The 16,658-nt window shown below is 38.3% G+C and overlaps 1 protein-coding gene across 5 annotated transcripts in view; it reads left to right on the forward strand.

The window, feature by feature from the left end:
• Window positions 1-16,658, forward strand: part of AGO3 (argonaute RISC catalytic component 3) — a 141,783-nt gene that overhangs the window by 14,371 nt on the left and 110,754 nt on the right. For all 5 annotated transcript variants that reach the window (XM_017000523.3, XM_005270575.5, NM_024852.4 and 2 more), the window contains one exon: window positions 604-775. In XM_017000523.3, coding sequence (XP_016856012.1) covers window positions 604-775 — 172 coding nt within the window. The remainder of the gene's footprint in view (window positions 1-603; window positions 776-16,658) is intronic.

The raw sequence follows: 16,658 nt of genomic DNA on the forward strand, positions 1-16,658 counted from the left end.
GGTGTGAGCTGCCATGCTTGGCCTGAGATACTTACCTTGTCAAATAATCAAATAATTGATTCTGTACTTTCTTGATTCTTTTTTATTACATATTGCTTCTTATTTTACTCTTTTCTTTTCTTTTCTTTTTTTTTTTTAAATAGAGACAAGTTCTCTCTCTGGCACTGAGTCTGGAGCGTCGTGTTACTATCATAGCTCAAGTGATCCTCCTACCTTGGCCTCCTAAAGCACTAGGATTCCAGGCATGAGCCACCATGCCCTGCCCTTTCTTCTACTTTCTTTAACTTTACTTTGCTATTGGTCTCACACTCTTTAGGTCTGACTTGTGCTTGCTCATGGTCAGCTTGGTTTGTGTGATTGTTCTTCCTTCTCTCTGCCCTTTCCAGAACAGTTTTCCAGAGGCATACGGTTTTCTGTGTTTATTTTTAATGAAGAGAGGAAATCTGGGGTGACAGAAGTTGAAGTGTTAGAAATGATGTCATCTTGCAGAACTAGGTTTTAGCCATTATCAGCTGTACTTATAATTCTAATATACTCTGGTTGACAAGGCTTTGGAATACAGCTTGTAACTGTGACTCTTTTTTTTTCCCTTTCCCCTGGCAGGACCCGCTGGGGCCCAGCCCCTACTCATGGTGCCCAGAAGACCTGGCTATGGCACCATGGGCAAACCCATTAAACTGCTGGCTAACTGTTTTCAAGTTGAAATCCCAAAGATTGATGTCTACCTCTATGAGGTAGATATTAAACCAGACAAGTGTCCTAGGAGAGTGAACAGGTAAGAATCATGAAACTGCAAAGATCTTTTGCTATTTTTTTCCTTAGTAATTATCCATGTTTATTTTGTATATCTGAATAACAATTACAATGTGTAACAGTTTGACCAAAAACATCTGGTAATTTGTTTTAAAACTGATTGTACTTCAGGGGTGTGATAGTGGGGAAAAAATCTTTGAAATTATTTTGTTATAACACGAGCTCACATTTTCCCTGTGATAATAGAAAAGGTTCAAGTTATTTTTACATGCTCCTGAAATCAGGCTGCACATCATGAGCACATCATTTTCCTTGCTGTTAGGTAATATGTCCATGCTTGCTTTTTTCTCCTCACCTCTCTTATGTACCACTTTCATAATGTTCCCTTTAAGATGACGGTGGTGATGATAGCAGTTGGGGGTAGAAATACTGGTTTCATGCTTTCTTTTCTCCTTTCCCAATTCCCAACTGTTTCTTACCATTATATAGGAATAAGTACAGATGGTATATAAAGATTTATCAGCCTGCTTTCAGTAAGCTTCCTCTCGCCTCCCCCAAATGCCATTTATATTCTTGGATGTGGTTTCGGTAATACAGGAAATATAAGAGGAATTTATGATTGGATATATACTATGTCTATTTGGATTTTGTTTTTAAAAACAAAGACAACACATTTTAAAAAAATGTGATATTCAGTTTAGCATTTTGGTTTCTATGATCCCAGCCTCTTCTTATTCATTAAATGTTATTAAGAGTCTTCATTTAAGACATTTAAGAAAAAGAATGTTGTTTCTCTCAAGAAATTTGTAATTTGGTAGAGGAAATAAGACATGTAAGAAGTATGAAGGTCTTTTTCTTGGACTTGTCATCCTAATTGTTAGTATTTCTGTTATACCTGAAAGTGAATGAGCACTAAAAGACTTTGTGATAACACGTTAAAAACAACAACACCTCTAAGAATGTTGTAATTAACATGTAATGCAGAGTTCTTTGTGAGGTCAGGAAGACTCGTAGAGTGTTACAGTTGAAAGGAACCTCTTAAGAAGTTAACTAATCCAATACCTTTTTTATTTATAGCTGAAATCCAGAAAGGTTAAGGGATTTAGTCAAGAACACATGTTTCAAGTAGGAAAGGTGAAACCAGAACTCCAGAATCCTGACTTGGTAGTCATTAGGAAGTATTTTGTAAAGGAAGAAGTTAATCTAAAACAATTGGTAAAATTTTGGTTAGCTGTAGTAAAAATAACATACATATAATTTTATTTATTTATTTATTTATTTATTTTTGAAGGAAGGATAGCAGTAACAAAAGCATAACGGTTGAGAAGAACCAGGTGTATTGAGTCTGAACCAGGCTTAAGGGGAAGGTTCTTTGCATTACATGTTAATTACAACATTCCTATAGGTGGTTTTTTTTTTAACATGTTATCAGATACTGCTTTAAGATACTATCTGTTGAATAGATGACTCCTAATCTTGCTGTAGCCTCTACCTCTTTCCTAAACTTCAGATTGACACCCAAATGTTCCTAAAGTGAACAACACAAGTCAAAAGAGTAGTGCCCTACTCTTCTGTGACCTCGTAGTACTTGATGTACACTTCCATTGTGGTGTTTTTAGTGCATTGTGGTTATTTTTCTCCCTTTCTCCAGTATAACCCCTTCATGAAAAGTAGTGTTTTTTATCATCTTTGTCACCCCATGTCAGCTCAGTGATTGGCACATAATACTCAGTAAAGTGAATGAAATGTTTATAAAATGGCATGAGTGTGATGGTGGGGGACAGGAAAGAAAACTGGATGTTCTAGAGGGCTGTTTTCCTGAACATGGGTTTTTCAGTGCCGTACTCTTATCTCCTAGGATCTTAGGCTAGTCTTGGTTTTGGTCTTCCTTCACTCTCTTTTATGTCTTTCTGTGAGCCGTCATCCACTTATGGGGACTTAACTGACTCATGCTGTACTCTCATAGAGATTCCCTTTTTCTTGTTTCTCAAAACTGGTTCATTAATGTATAGATTTGAGTGAAGGATAATCCTGACCCTTCTGGTAGATATTTACACTTTAAAAAGGCATTTATTAGCTGAGCCATGGGCCTGTAGTCCCAGCTACTCTGAAGGCTGAGGCAGGAGGATTACTTAAGCCCAGGAGTTAAGGCTGCAGTGTGTTGTGATTGTGCCTGTGAACAGCCACTGCACTCCAGCCGGGGCAACATAGTGAGACCACATATCTAAAAAATAAATAAATAAAAATAAAAAGGCATTAGTTAATCTAAGTAAAGATCTGGGGCTTGAGGGATGTCAATTCAAGTTTTTTTAGTATGCCAGATGAGTTACAAGGAAATGATATGGTGGCAAAAATATTAAGTAAAAGGAACAGAATTTTTTTTTTTTTTTTTTTGCAACAGAGTCTCTCCCTGTTGCCCAGGCTGGAGTGCAATGGCGCGATTTCCGCTCACTGCAACCTCTGCCTCCTAGGTTCAAGCAATTCTCCTGCCTCAGCCTCCCGAGTAGTTGGGATTATAGGCACCTGCCACCATGACCAGCTAATTTTTTGTATTTTTAGTAGAGACTGGGTTTCTCCATGTTGGCCCAGGCTGGTCTTGAACTCCTGACCTTGTGGTCCCCCCCCGCCCCCACCCCACCGCCGGCCTCCCAAAGTGCTGGGATTACAGGCGTGAGCCACTGTGCCCGGCCGGAACAGAATTGTTTATTAGATTTATTCTTTCTCCTGCCTAACATTTTTGTTTTATTTTTTGGTAGGGTGTGGGTAAAGGAAAATTTGTGTATTATATATGTGTAATTATATATGTGTATATAAAGTTGTGTAGCATAGAATTTCATGTGTATATGCTCAATGTATTAAGTTTGTGAGAAAAATATGTGTCATAAATTGGTGTGGTGCATTCTGGTTTTAACTTACGATTCTTTTGACATCCTTAATTACATTACATCTTTAGGTTGCTTTATCTTACATTTTTTTGACAGTACCAATAATTTAGATTTGTAATTTAAATGTTTCCAAGTGGAAAGTTTTTAAATTTTTGTGATGTAAAATTTTAGTCATTTTTATCATGTTTTTGAGTTTTTATTTATTTTATTATTATTTTATTTATTTATTTTTTTGAGATGGAGTTTTGCTCTTGTTGCCCAGGCTGGTATGCAATGGCACGATCTCGGCTCATTGCAGCCTCCATCTCCTGGGTTCAAGCAATTCTCCTGCCTCAGCCTCCCGAGTAGCTGGAATTACAGGCATGTGCCATCATGCCCAGCTAATTTTGTATTATTAGTAGAGATGAGGTTTCTCCATGTTGGTCAGTCTGGTCTCGAATTCCCAACCTCAGGTGATCTGCCTGCCCCGGCCTCCCAAAGTGCTGGGATTACAGGCGTGAGCTACCGCACCCGGCCCAAGTTTTTATAGGAACTGTAGGACTTGTTTGGGATTCTAAAAATCATATAAATCAGCTTTATACTTTGTTAATAATATTGCTTTGATTTAATGTCAACATCTGCAAAACTTATTCCGTTTTCTTCAGCTGACTTGCTTTTGTCTTCAGTTTTTACAGTATTACTGCATGACTAGTCAGTTGAAACTTGGTGGTCTTCTGAAATTGATGTGGTGGCTCAGTTCCTGTGCTTCAACAACTGGAATTCTAGGCGTTAGAAGGAACTAGATAGAACTTAACAATTCCTTTTCAATATTAGCAAAACAGTTAAGGGACAAAATGCAGTGGTTCAGTTATGTCTAATTTAACTTATTCAAAATATTAAAACAAAACAAATTGTTTTATTTCCTTTTTTAAAAGTCAGGGTCTCAATCTGTCTCCCAGGCTCTGGAATGCAGTGGCACAATCATAGCACACTGTGTTCTCAACCTCCTGGACTCAAGTGATCCTTCCACTTAAGCCTCCTGAGTAGCTGGGACTACAGGCACCACCACACCAAGATCATTTTTTAAAATTTTTATTTGCAGGAGACGAGTTCTCCCTATGTTGCCCAGGCTGGTTTTGAACTCCTGAGCTCAAGTGATCCTCCCAAAGTGCTGGGATTACAGGCATGAGCCACCATGGCCAGCCTTATTTCGTTTCTTATTAAAGATTTATATTGGCCAGGCATGGTAGCTCACGCCTGTAATCCCAGCACTTTGGGAGGCTGAGGCGAGTGGATCACGAGGTCAGGAGATCGAGACCATCCTGGCCAACATGGTGAAACCCCGTCTCTACTAAAAGTACAAAAATTAGCTGCATGTGATGGCGGGCGCCTGTAATCCCAGCTACTCGGGAGACTGAGGCAGGAGAATTGCTTGAACCCAGAAGGCAGAGGTTGCAGTGAGCCGACGTCGTGCCACTGCACTCTAGCCTGGCAACAGAGTAAGACTCCGTCTCAAAAAAAAAAAAAAATTATATTGTTGCCTTCTATAAAGTCATAGTGATTCTCCTCTAAGTGACTTAAATGTTTTAATACTTAAATTATCGTGCATGAAATTTTTCTTGTCCATATGCCACATGAACAAATATTTGGCACTAAGGCATTAATCATAATAGTAGAAAGATGTATTATAGCCAAACAATTGCCACTTTAGTTGGAGTCTTCTTAGACACAATATCCAGGAAATGCTAGTGAATCATTTTGTGGGTCAACCTTTCTACAAATTTATTCTTTAGATTTTCTGTCCATTGCTTTTTTTGTCCTTTCCTCACCCCGTTTTGTGTTGGGGGGCCAAGTTGGGGAAGGAGATTCTTTCCTTCCTTCTTTTCCCCCTATTAAATGATTTTGATTGAATGTTAGCTTTTGTTAAAAGAGTATGTATGTTAAGTATATTTCAAATGTTACTAGTTTCTAATAGGTGAATGGTCTCAATGACTAAAAAACAAATATTTTTTAGAAACATTATGACCTAGAGTATACATTCTGTAACTTGAGATTTTATGCTAGTTTGTCCAACCTCTAAATACACCTTGAATAGATAGTATATGTATTTATTCAAAACCATTAAATAATGGAATAGATACATGTTAAAAATTATGTATACAACATGATTATAACTGCAATATCTATTTTAAAACATGAATAAAAATTTGAAGGAATCTTAAAATAGTAGTAGATTGTGGTTGCATTTTTATTTTATTTATTTATTTTTTAGACAGAGTCTTACTCTGTTGCCCAGGCTGGAGTGCAATGGCACATTCTCAGCTCACTGCAACCTCCGCCTCCTGGGTTCAAGCAATTCTCCTGCCTCAGCCTCCCGAGTAGTTGGGATTACAGGCACCCATGCCCAGCTAGCGTTTGTATTTTTAGTGGAGTCGGGGTTTCGCCATGTTGATCAGGCTGGTCTCGAACTCCTGACCTCAGGTGATCCACCCACCTCGGCTTCCCGAAGTGCTGGGATCACAGGCGTGAGCCACCACACCCAGCTGTGGTTGCATTTTTTTGGCTCAGTTTTCTTTTACAAATGAAACATCATTTTTACTACTGTTACTGTTAATATTCTATGATGATTAATAACATGCCAAATATTTCTGCATATTTCATATTGATATAATGTTTAATGCTGATGATTTTTATTTTATTTATTTATTTTGAAACAGGATCTCGCTCTGTCACCCAGGCTGGAGTGCAGTGGTACGATCACAGTTCACTGCAGCCTTGACCTCCCTGGGCTCAAGCAATCCTCCCACCTCAGCATCCTGAGTAGCTGAGACCAGGAGCATGCCTGGCTAATTTTTCTACTTTTTGTAGAGACAGAGTTTAGCTATGTTGCCCAGGCTGGTCTCAAACTCATGGGCTCAAGACATCCACCCACCTTGGCCTTTCAAAGTGCTGGGATTATAGGTTTGAGCCACTGCACCCAGACAGATGATTGAATTTTAGAAAGAAAAAAGTAAATCTATATTGATCCAATTTTGGCTTTTTAAGTGGAAATCTCAGAGCAGCAATGTGTTTAAAGAAACTTCTTTTCTGCTGTTAGGAATGTCATTTTTATGGTGTTATAGTTGGATAGTATGCCAAGAGGGGGCATATTTCATTTTGAATAACTTGATGGATATATAATTTACATGCCATAAGTCACCCATTTTAAAATGTACACCTCAGTGGTTTTTAGTATATTGCCAGAGAGGATGTACAGCCGTCACTTCAATGTAATTTTAGAACATTTCATCCTCTCAAAAAGAAACCCCATACTCATTAGCAGTCACTGCCCATTAGTCCCTCCCCACAGTCCTTGCCAACCACTAATCTACTTTCTTTCTCTGTAGATTGTCGGTTCTGGGTCGGTCTTTCTTTCTTTCTTTCTTTCTTTCTTTCTTTCTTTCTTTTTTTTTTTTTTTTTTGACAGAGTCTCGCTCTGTCACCTAGGCTAGAGTGCAGTGGCGCGATCGCGGCTCACTGCAACCTCTGCCTCCTGAGTTCAAGCAGTTCTCCTCAGCCTCCCAAGTAGCTGGGACTACAGGCGCCTGCCACCATGCCTGGCTAATTTTTGTATTTTTAGTAGAGGTGGGATTTCACCATGTTGGCCCAGCTGGTCTCAAACTCCTGACTTCAAATGATCTGCCTACCTCGGCCTCCCAAAATGCTAGGATTACAGGGGTGAGCCACTGCATCCGGCCGGATATTTCTTATAAATGGAATCATATACCATGTGGCCTTTTGTGACTGGCTTCTTTTTGCATAATGATTTCAAGGTTCATTCATGTTGTAGCATGTATCAGTATATTCAGGCACTGCATAACTTTTCAGTGAATTACAGACCACATGTATGATGGTGGTCCCATAAGATTATAATACCGTATTTTTACTGTACCTTTTTATGTTTAGATACACAAATACCACTGTATTACAGTTGCCTACAGTATTCAGTATAGTAATGTGATGTACAGGTTTGTAGCCCAGGAGTAATAAGCCATACCATATAGCTTAGATGTGTATATGGCTTAGATGTGTAGTAGGCTCTACTATCTAGGTATGTGTAAGCACATTCTATGATGTTCACACAACAAAATGATAATGCATTTCCTGGAACATATCCCCATCGTTAAGTGATGCATAACTGTACTTTATTCCTTTTTATTGCTGAATAATATTCCATTGTATGGATATAATACATTTTGTTTATCCATCATTTGATGGACATTTGGGTTGTTGCCATTTTTGACTACTACAAATAATGCTGCTATAAACATTCATGTACAGGATTTTGTGTGGACATACATTTTCATTTATGTTGGATATATACCTAAGAGTGATATCATATGATAACTCTATATTTAACCTTTTGAGAAACTGCCAGACTCTTTTCCAAAGTGGCTGCACCAGCCAGACATGGTGGCTCATGCCTGTAATCCCAACACTTTGGGATGCTGAGGTGAAAGGATCACTTGAGTCCAGGAATTCAAGACCAGCCTGAGCAATGTAGCAAGACATCATTTCTACTAAAAAGAAAAAAAAAAAGAAGGCAGTGTCTGCACCATTTTACATTCCCACTAGCAGTGTATGAAGATGTTTTCCCATATTCTCACCAATATGTTATTATTTGTCTTTTTAAAAATTATTTTCATCCTAGTGGATGTGAAGTTGTATCTCATTGTCGTTTTGACTTGCATTTTCCTGATGACGGATGTTGAACATTTTTCATGTATTTATTGGTCATTTGTATATTTTATTTGGAGAAATGTCTATTTAGGTCCTTTGCTAATTTTTTTTTTTTTTTTGAGACAGAGTCTTACTCTATTGCCCAGGCTGGAGTGCAGTGGCACGATCTTAGCTCACTGCAACTTCCACCTCCCAGGTTCAAGCGATTCTCCTGCCTCAGCCTCCCAAGTAGCATACCACCATGCCTGGCTAATTTTTGTAGTTTTTAGTAGAGATGGGGTTTCACTATATTGGCCAGGCTGGTCTCGAACCTCTGACCTCAGGTGATTCACCCGCCTCACCCTTCCAAAGTGCTGGGGTTACAGGCATGAGCCACTGTGCCTGCCTGCCCATTTTTAAATTGGGTCATTTGTCTTTTTGTTATTGAGTCATAGGAGTTCATTATATGTTCTAGATAAAAGTCCCTTATTAGATATATGGTTGCAAAATTTTTCTCTGTTTATACATGTTGCATCTTCATTGTCTTGATGGTGTCCTTTGAAGCACAAACTTTTAAAATTTTGATGATGTCTAACTTATTTTTTCTTTTGTCGCTTGTGATTTTGTTGTCATATCTATAGAAGGGTTCTATATTAAAATGATTTAGACAACATACTTCAGAAAACACTACCAGTAAAAACCAAATGGTATAGTTTTGAGTGTTTAGTGATCTTGGGGAAACTATTATACAAAATATGTCAGCTAATAAATAAGTTTTATTTTCCTTTTAGTCACTTGGAAGATAGGAAAGTTAACAGATGGTAATTATTTCACATCTCAAAATTCTTTTAGAGTGGCATCTAAATACAATACTAAGTAGAAATTAGCCTTTTGACTAATATTCCTATAATATATTTGAAACTTGAAGATACTTTCATAAATTAACAAATATTTACACACAAGGGACTAGTACATAAGGTATTATTACCAACATCTATTTGTGTAGATATAAATTACAATAGCTGTATAGTGTTCTATTATATGAATGTACCTTGATTTGTTTACTTTAACCTGCTCCAGTTTGTTAGGTTAACTTAAATCTATTTAAACCATTTATCTGAACTTACCACATGTTTATACCAAAGTACTATGCTATTGGTACTAGATTTACAGGATATACGGAAACTTAAAGATCATTTTTGAATCTTCTCTATGTTTTCATTAACTGTTTACTCCTGTTTTGTGTCAGGCACTGTGCTAGGTTCTAGCAATAATACAATAGATAAAACATGATCTCTTTAAAGTTTTAAATTCCATATGGAGTGACAAATTCTGTGATATGCACATTATGTACTGTGATGAAAGAGTAATGATTCCTGCCTTTGGGTAAGGAGGAGGATGTGGTGTATCACATGGTATTTGAGCAAAATAATTGTATCATAAAAGGTACAGTAAAAATATATCATCTTATGGGACCACCATCATATATGTGGTCTGTAATTGACTGAAAAGTTATGCAGCACCTGCCTGTGCTGATATATGCTACAACATGAAGTTGTCCAGTGGACAGGGAGAAAGAATAATCCACATAGACAGCATGAGCAAAGGTATGACATGTTGGTATAACAGAAACAGGCCAGTATAAATAGAGTAGCTAGAGATGAGTCTGAAGAGTTAGCTAGGGAGTAGGTTATGAAGAATCTGAAATCCGTGCTAAGGCTTGTGAATTCAGAAATAGTAGAGAGCCAATAGAACCTTTTAAACAAATGAAGAATATCGGTATTTAGGACCATACTTGATGACAGTGTGGTGAATGAGAGATGAGAAAGACTTGAGTCCTGGAGAACATTTGGAAGGCTGTTGTAGTAGTCTAGGTTAGCGGTCTTCAAACCATTGATCACACGTCCCCATTAATTAAAATTTGTTTGACCAAAAAATACATATAGATATAAATGCACACACATTTCAAAAACTATAATTTGTTGGCGTGTACTACTGTTTTAATATGTAACTGTAGAAAAAGATGAGAAAGATAATTTTGAAATGAACTATTTAAAAATACATTTAAATAACTTAAACTTTTCAGATTAATGGTACAAAAAACCCTGACTGAATATGTGTCACACACTTGAACTACAGAAAGTTGCAGTGTGCTGAAAATGAATGAACGAGAGGTACACTGTTAACTTTTTTTTTTTTTTTTTAATTGAGACAGGAGTCTCACTCTGTCACCCAGGCTGGAGTGCAGTGGCGTGAACATGGCTCACTGCAGCCTCACCCTCCTGGGCCCGAGCAATCCTCCCACCTCAGCCTTCATAGTAGCTGGGACTACAGGCACATACCACCATGCCCGGCTAATTTTTGTATTTTTTATAGAAATGGGATTTCGCCATGTTGCCCAGGCTGGCCTTGAACTCCTTGTCTCAAGCGATCTGCCCACCTCAACTTCCCAAAGTGTTGGAATTACAGGCGTGAGCCACTGTGTCAGACCTTAACTCTTATGTGTTGCAGAACTCCCATTACTCTCCTAGGATTCCTGGTGTACCGTGTGTTGCACCTGACCATCTAATGTGGAATAACTGAAGGCACCAGTATCAATCCATACTCATGAATATTAGTAAATCTTAATTCCTAATTGTTCACTGAAAATTAAATATAAATATGTCTAATTTTTCCTCATACTGCAGCATACCCCTTGGCACCTCTGGTACATATTTTTCTGGATTATAGGTAATATGTTCAAAGACACAGTGGCAATAATGATGATGGAGGGCATAGATGGAAGATTTAGAAAAAGAATGAACAATTTAGGTATGTAAGGAAAGGATAGAGATAAGAATGGCTTCATAGTTCCTAGCTGGTGCATTAGTAATGGTTTTAACAGAAATATAGATTCTGAAGGGACCAGGTTTTTGTATACTATTTTGAATATTTGGAGGTTGAATTGCATAAGAAACATCAAAATGGCAGAAGTTCAATAGGTTATTGGAAATAAGTGTCTAGCTAAGTGTCAGGAGATAAGTCAAAATGGAGATTGTGATTCGTCAGCATGTAGGTGATAGTTAAAAACTGGGGAAGTATGTAAAAATAAAAGAACTGAGACTAGATCTCTGAGATACTATTATTTCAGGTTTACCAGTGAAAACACACAGGGATTGGAAAGATAGGAGAACCAGGACAAAGTAGAAGCTATTTCAGAGAAGGCAAGGTAAGGATCATGATTTTCTTTTTTTGTTTTTTTTTTTTTTTCTTTTGGAGAGGGAGTCTCGCTCTGTCGCCCAGGTTGGAATTCAGTGACATGATCACGTGATCTTGGCTGACTGCAACCTCCGCCTTCCAGGGTCAAGCAATTCTGTCTCAGCCTCCTGAGTAGCTGGGACTACAGGTGCATGCCACCATGCCTGGCTAATTTTTTTGTATTTTTAGTAGAGATAGGGTTTCACTGTGATGCCCACGCTGGTCTCAAACTCCTGAGCTCAGGCAGTCCGCCCACCTCGGCCTCCCAAAGTTGCTAGGATTACAGGCATGAGCCACTGCACCTGGCCTTAAGGATCATGATTTTCAAGGAACAAAGTTTGATTACAGTGGCAAATGCTAAACAAAGCCAGGCGTATAGAGACTGAAAATGCGCCATTACACATGGTTGTTAAGAAGTTGGTGGCCCAGCCTGGTGCAGTGGCTCACGCCTGTAATCTCAGCCCTTTGGGAGGCCAAGGTGGGCAGATCACTTGAACCCAGGAGTCTGAGACCAGCCTGGCCAACATGGTGAAACCCCATCTCTACTAAAAATACAAAAATTAGCTGGGCATCGTGGTACATGCCTGTAATCCCAGCTTGGATTACTTGGGAGGCTGAGGTACGAGAATTGCTTATACCCAGGAGGTGAAGGTTGCAGTGAGCTGAGATCATACCACTGCACTCCAGCCTGGGCGACAGAGCGAGACTGTCTCAAAAACAAAAAAAAGAAGTCAGTGGCCTGATAAAAATAATTCACATATGAAATGACTACAAACATAGTGTATAGTGAAATGCTCTGTATGAGCTGAGCTCAGTGGCTCATGCCTGTAATCCCAGCACTTTGCGAGGCTGACGCAGGCAGATCACTTGAGGTCAGGAGTTTGAGACCAGCCTGGCCAACATGGTGAAACCCCGTCTCTACTAAAAATGCAAAAATTAGCTGGGCGTGGTGGCACGTGCTTGTAATCCCAGCTACTCGGGAGGCTGAGGCATGAGAATTGCTTGAACCTGGGAGGTGAAGGTTGCAGTGAGCAGAGATTGTGCCACTGCACTCCAGCCTGGGCAACAGAGTGTGATTCCATCTCAAAAAAACAAAAATGCTCAGTATCGATTTTATATTACAAATTATTAAAATTTTGGCCAAGTGCAGTGGCACATGTGAGGCCTGTAATTCCAGCACTTTGGGAGGCCAAGGCAGGAGGAGTGCTGGAGGCCAGAATTTCAAGGCCAGCCTGGGCAACATAGGGAGACCCCTTCTGTATGAAAAATTTAAAGATTAGCCAGGTATAATGGTGTACACCTATAGTCCTAGCTACTCAGGAGGCTGAGGTGAGAGGATTGCTCACTTCAGGAGTTGGAGGCTGCAGTGAGCCATGATTGCACCACTGCACTCCATCCTCTGGGTGACAGAGCAAGATCTGTATCTTTAAAAAAAGAAAAAAGTATTAAAAATTTGTCCTGGCCAGGCGTGGTGGCTCACGCCTGTAATCCCAGCACTTTGGGAGGCCAAGGCGGGCGGATCACAAGGTCTGGAGTTCGAGATCAGCCTGGCCAACATGGTGAAATCCCGTTTCTACTAAAAATAAAAAAATTAGCCAGGCATGGTGGTGCGCGTTTGTAATCCCAGCTACCCAGGAGGCTGAGTCTGAAGAATCACTTGAACCCAGGAGGTGGAGGTTGCAGTGAGCCGAGATCACACCACTGCACTCCAGTCTAGGCGACAGAATAAGACTCCATAATAAAAAAAAAAGAAAAATTTTTGTTCTACCCAGCACTTTGGGAGGCTGAGGTGGACAGATCACTTGATCTCAGGAGTTCAAGACCAGCCTGGGCAACATGATGAAACTCTGTCTCTACAAGAAATACAAAAATTAGCTGGGCATGGTGGCACACTCCTGTAGTCCCAGCTACTCGGGAGGTTGAGACAGGAGAATGGCTTGAGGCAGAGGTTGCTGTGAGCTGAGATTGCACCACTGCGCTCCAGCCTGGGCATCAGAGCCAGACCTTGTCTCAAAAAAAAAAAAAGAAAAAAGATCTAAAATATAATCCCTCTCTTCTCTGTTTTGCATACCTTAAACTTTATCTTGTTGCACAAGTATTTATTGGCTACCTTCTCTGCTAGTAACCACAGAGTAATAAAGATAAGTTAGAGATTGGAAGGATACAAAGAGAGACTGCCAGCTGTTTTAGTTGTGTTTTATAAACCTCTGGATGATTTTGACATTTTGTTATACTTTAGCAATCTTCTTTCTGTCTATACTGTAGTGACACATTCATTTATTGTAGCCATGGATAATGTCAGTAGACTTTTGGGGAAAATATTCTTTCATGTTGTCTTCTGTAGACTAGAATAATATTTTTCATTCTGTCTTTTGGGAGCAGAGAATTAAGAGGTACCTAATAAAGTGAGATGGAGGTGGATCTCTATAAGCTTATAGTAATTACAACTCACAGGAAAATAATTTGCTCTCCTCTTTTTTACATTAAAGTTTCTCTCTTCCCATTTTTCTGCTGTATAAGTCAGGTGGTAAAATGGGACTTAATGAAATTATTATTAAATTTTACTTTATAATCTGTGCACCAGAGCATGATGGAGTCAAAAGAGTTGGTATCAGAATGTAGGAAGTAGTGATTGAAGTAAGGGTGGTAGGATAGGCTGTACCCCTTTAGAAGATCTAATGTATTCAGGTAGATTTCATTTTTGAAGTTATTACCAATTATTCTTAAGGATTCTTAAATTCTCACGTGACGTTCTAAAAAATGCATCACAGTATAATTCTGCAAGAATTCTTTTCTTCTCAGACTAAGGTTATTAGTGAAAGGAAGCCACTAAAGATTGGTTAGACATTCTTATCTGTGTTTACTCAGATTTTATTTCCCAAATTACTTTCCCAAGCACTGTTTTAGAAGTTAAAATATTTTATGTATTTTTATTAGTCTAGTTTTACTACTTACGGTAAGCTAAGAACTTGTTTAACAATATACACTTAAATATTTTGCTAAAAGTACTGTATTTGAACAAAAGATTCCACTCCTAACCCTATTGTTGTAATAAAAGACTAGTGTCATAAAATATAGAGGAAACTCAGTTATCAGTTTATGTTAATTACCAGAATTATTCATTATTTGTGTTAATTTACTATATTTGATGCTAAAACATTGTAGTGTATTCATTTGTTATTTGGAAGACTTCAGTATAATTCTTAAAATATATTTGTGAGATAATTATGCTTAAATTTTAATATAAAAATATTATTATACATATTTGTTTTTTTAATCTTCAAATTATTTTCACTAATATTCCATTTGGTTCCTGAGACTGTTATCTCATTTTTATTGATAAAGAAACTCAAGTCAGAGAAGTTAAATAACTTTCTTAACAACTTAGTGACAGAATGGGACTAAAAACTCATGCCTTCTTATTTCGGTACTTATATTATCATATATTTTAAAGGTTTCTCAGGTTGGTAGTTTCCCAATTCCAAGTTTCATCGTAATATAATAGCACCTTTGCTACTATAGCTGACTAGATGGCTTAGGAAACTAGATAAATTACTGTTCTAAAGAGTGTTTTTTCTCTAGCTCCACATGCCTACCTATTAAAGATTCTAATAAACTACCCTTTTCCCTAATATCCTTTGAGATAAGAAATGAGAATTTACTGTCCCTAGATTTGCCATTTTGTTAGCTTGCATACTAAAATCTGCTGGATGCCCATATTCCCAGTTACTCAGAAGGCTAAGGCAGGAGGATCACTTGAACTCAGGAGTTTTAGGTTACAGTGAACTGTGATCACATCACTGCACTCAAGTCTGGGCAACAGAGCAAGACCTGGTCTCAAAAAAAAATTTTTTTTTTTCGCTAAAATTCTAAATATATGAATTTGGCCAGGCACAGTGGCTCACACATGTAATCTCAACACTCTGGGAGGCTGAGACAGGAGGATTGCTTGAACCCAGGAGTTGGAGACCAGCATGGGCAACATAGTGAGACCCCATCTCTTTAAAAAAAATTCTAAATATATGAATTAATTGTGTCATATTAGTGAGAGGTTAAAAAATAATATAACTCTTGGCCCTCATGAAAGATGACTCTCTTTGTAGCATAGGTTTTGTCAGTTATGAACTTAAAAAACTGTCAAGTGGAAAAATTGACCCGTATACTATAGAATTCCAGTGCTATTTCCTTAAGGCTCTGAACTAAATTGTCAAATGTAAGTGTAATTATTCATAAAAGTAATATCTAATGCCATGATACGATTTACCATGATAAAATTTACAATGTTTCTTTTCTTTTTTTTTTTTTATTTTTATTTTTTTTTGAGATGGAGTCTCGCTCTGATGCCCAGGGTGGAGTGCAGTGGTGCGATCTTGGCTCACTGCAAGCTCCACCTCCCGGGTTCACACCATTCTCCTGCCTCAGGCTCCCGAGTAGCTGGGACTACGGGCACCCGCCACCAAGCCCTGCTAATTTTTTTTTTTTTTGTATTTTTAGTTGAGACAGGGTTTCACCGTGTTAGCCAGGATGGTCTCAATCTCCTGACCTCTTGATCCGCCTGCCTCGGCCCCCCAAAGTGGTGGGATTACACGTGTGAGCCACTGCGCCTGGCCATTGTTTGGTATTTTTTAAATTAAATTTTACTATAAGAGGGTATCGCGGATATTTCATTTTAATCTTAAATTTATATCTTCCCTGACAGTTGGTCATATAGCTGCTCTTTGAACAGTTCTAGCAAAGATGAACTCAGGTACTTTATAAGGTAGTGTAATTTACTTTTGAATAACTCTGGTGGTTAGAAAATCCTGAAAATTTCGTTCCAAAATGTCTAATGTTCCAACTATTTTTCCTAGTTCTTTCTACTCAGTTTTTCACATGACAATCTATCAAAATAGCCAAAAACTTATTCTGTAATTTTCTTTGAGTTTTTCCTATTCCAGACTAAGACTTTCCTATTCCAAACCAGACTTGGTTTGATTTATTTTTACTCATATTACATGATTTCCTATCAGGATTGCCTCCTTCTCATTATATTTGAATTTTTAGGGTCTTAAATTTTTCACAAATTGAACAGAGTACTCCAAGATGTAAAATGATCTGTTTTAATAT

This window comes from Homo sapiens, chromosome 1 (genome assembly GCF_000001405.40).
Source record: "Homo sapiens chromosome 1, GRCh38.p14 Primary Assembly".
NCBI classification, from domain to species: Eukaryota; Metazoa; Chordata; class Mammalia; order Primates; family Hominidae; genus Homo; species Homo sapiens.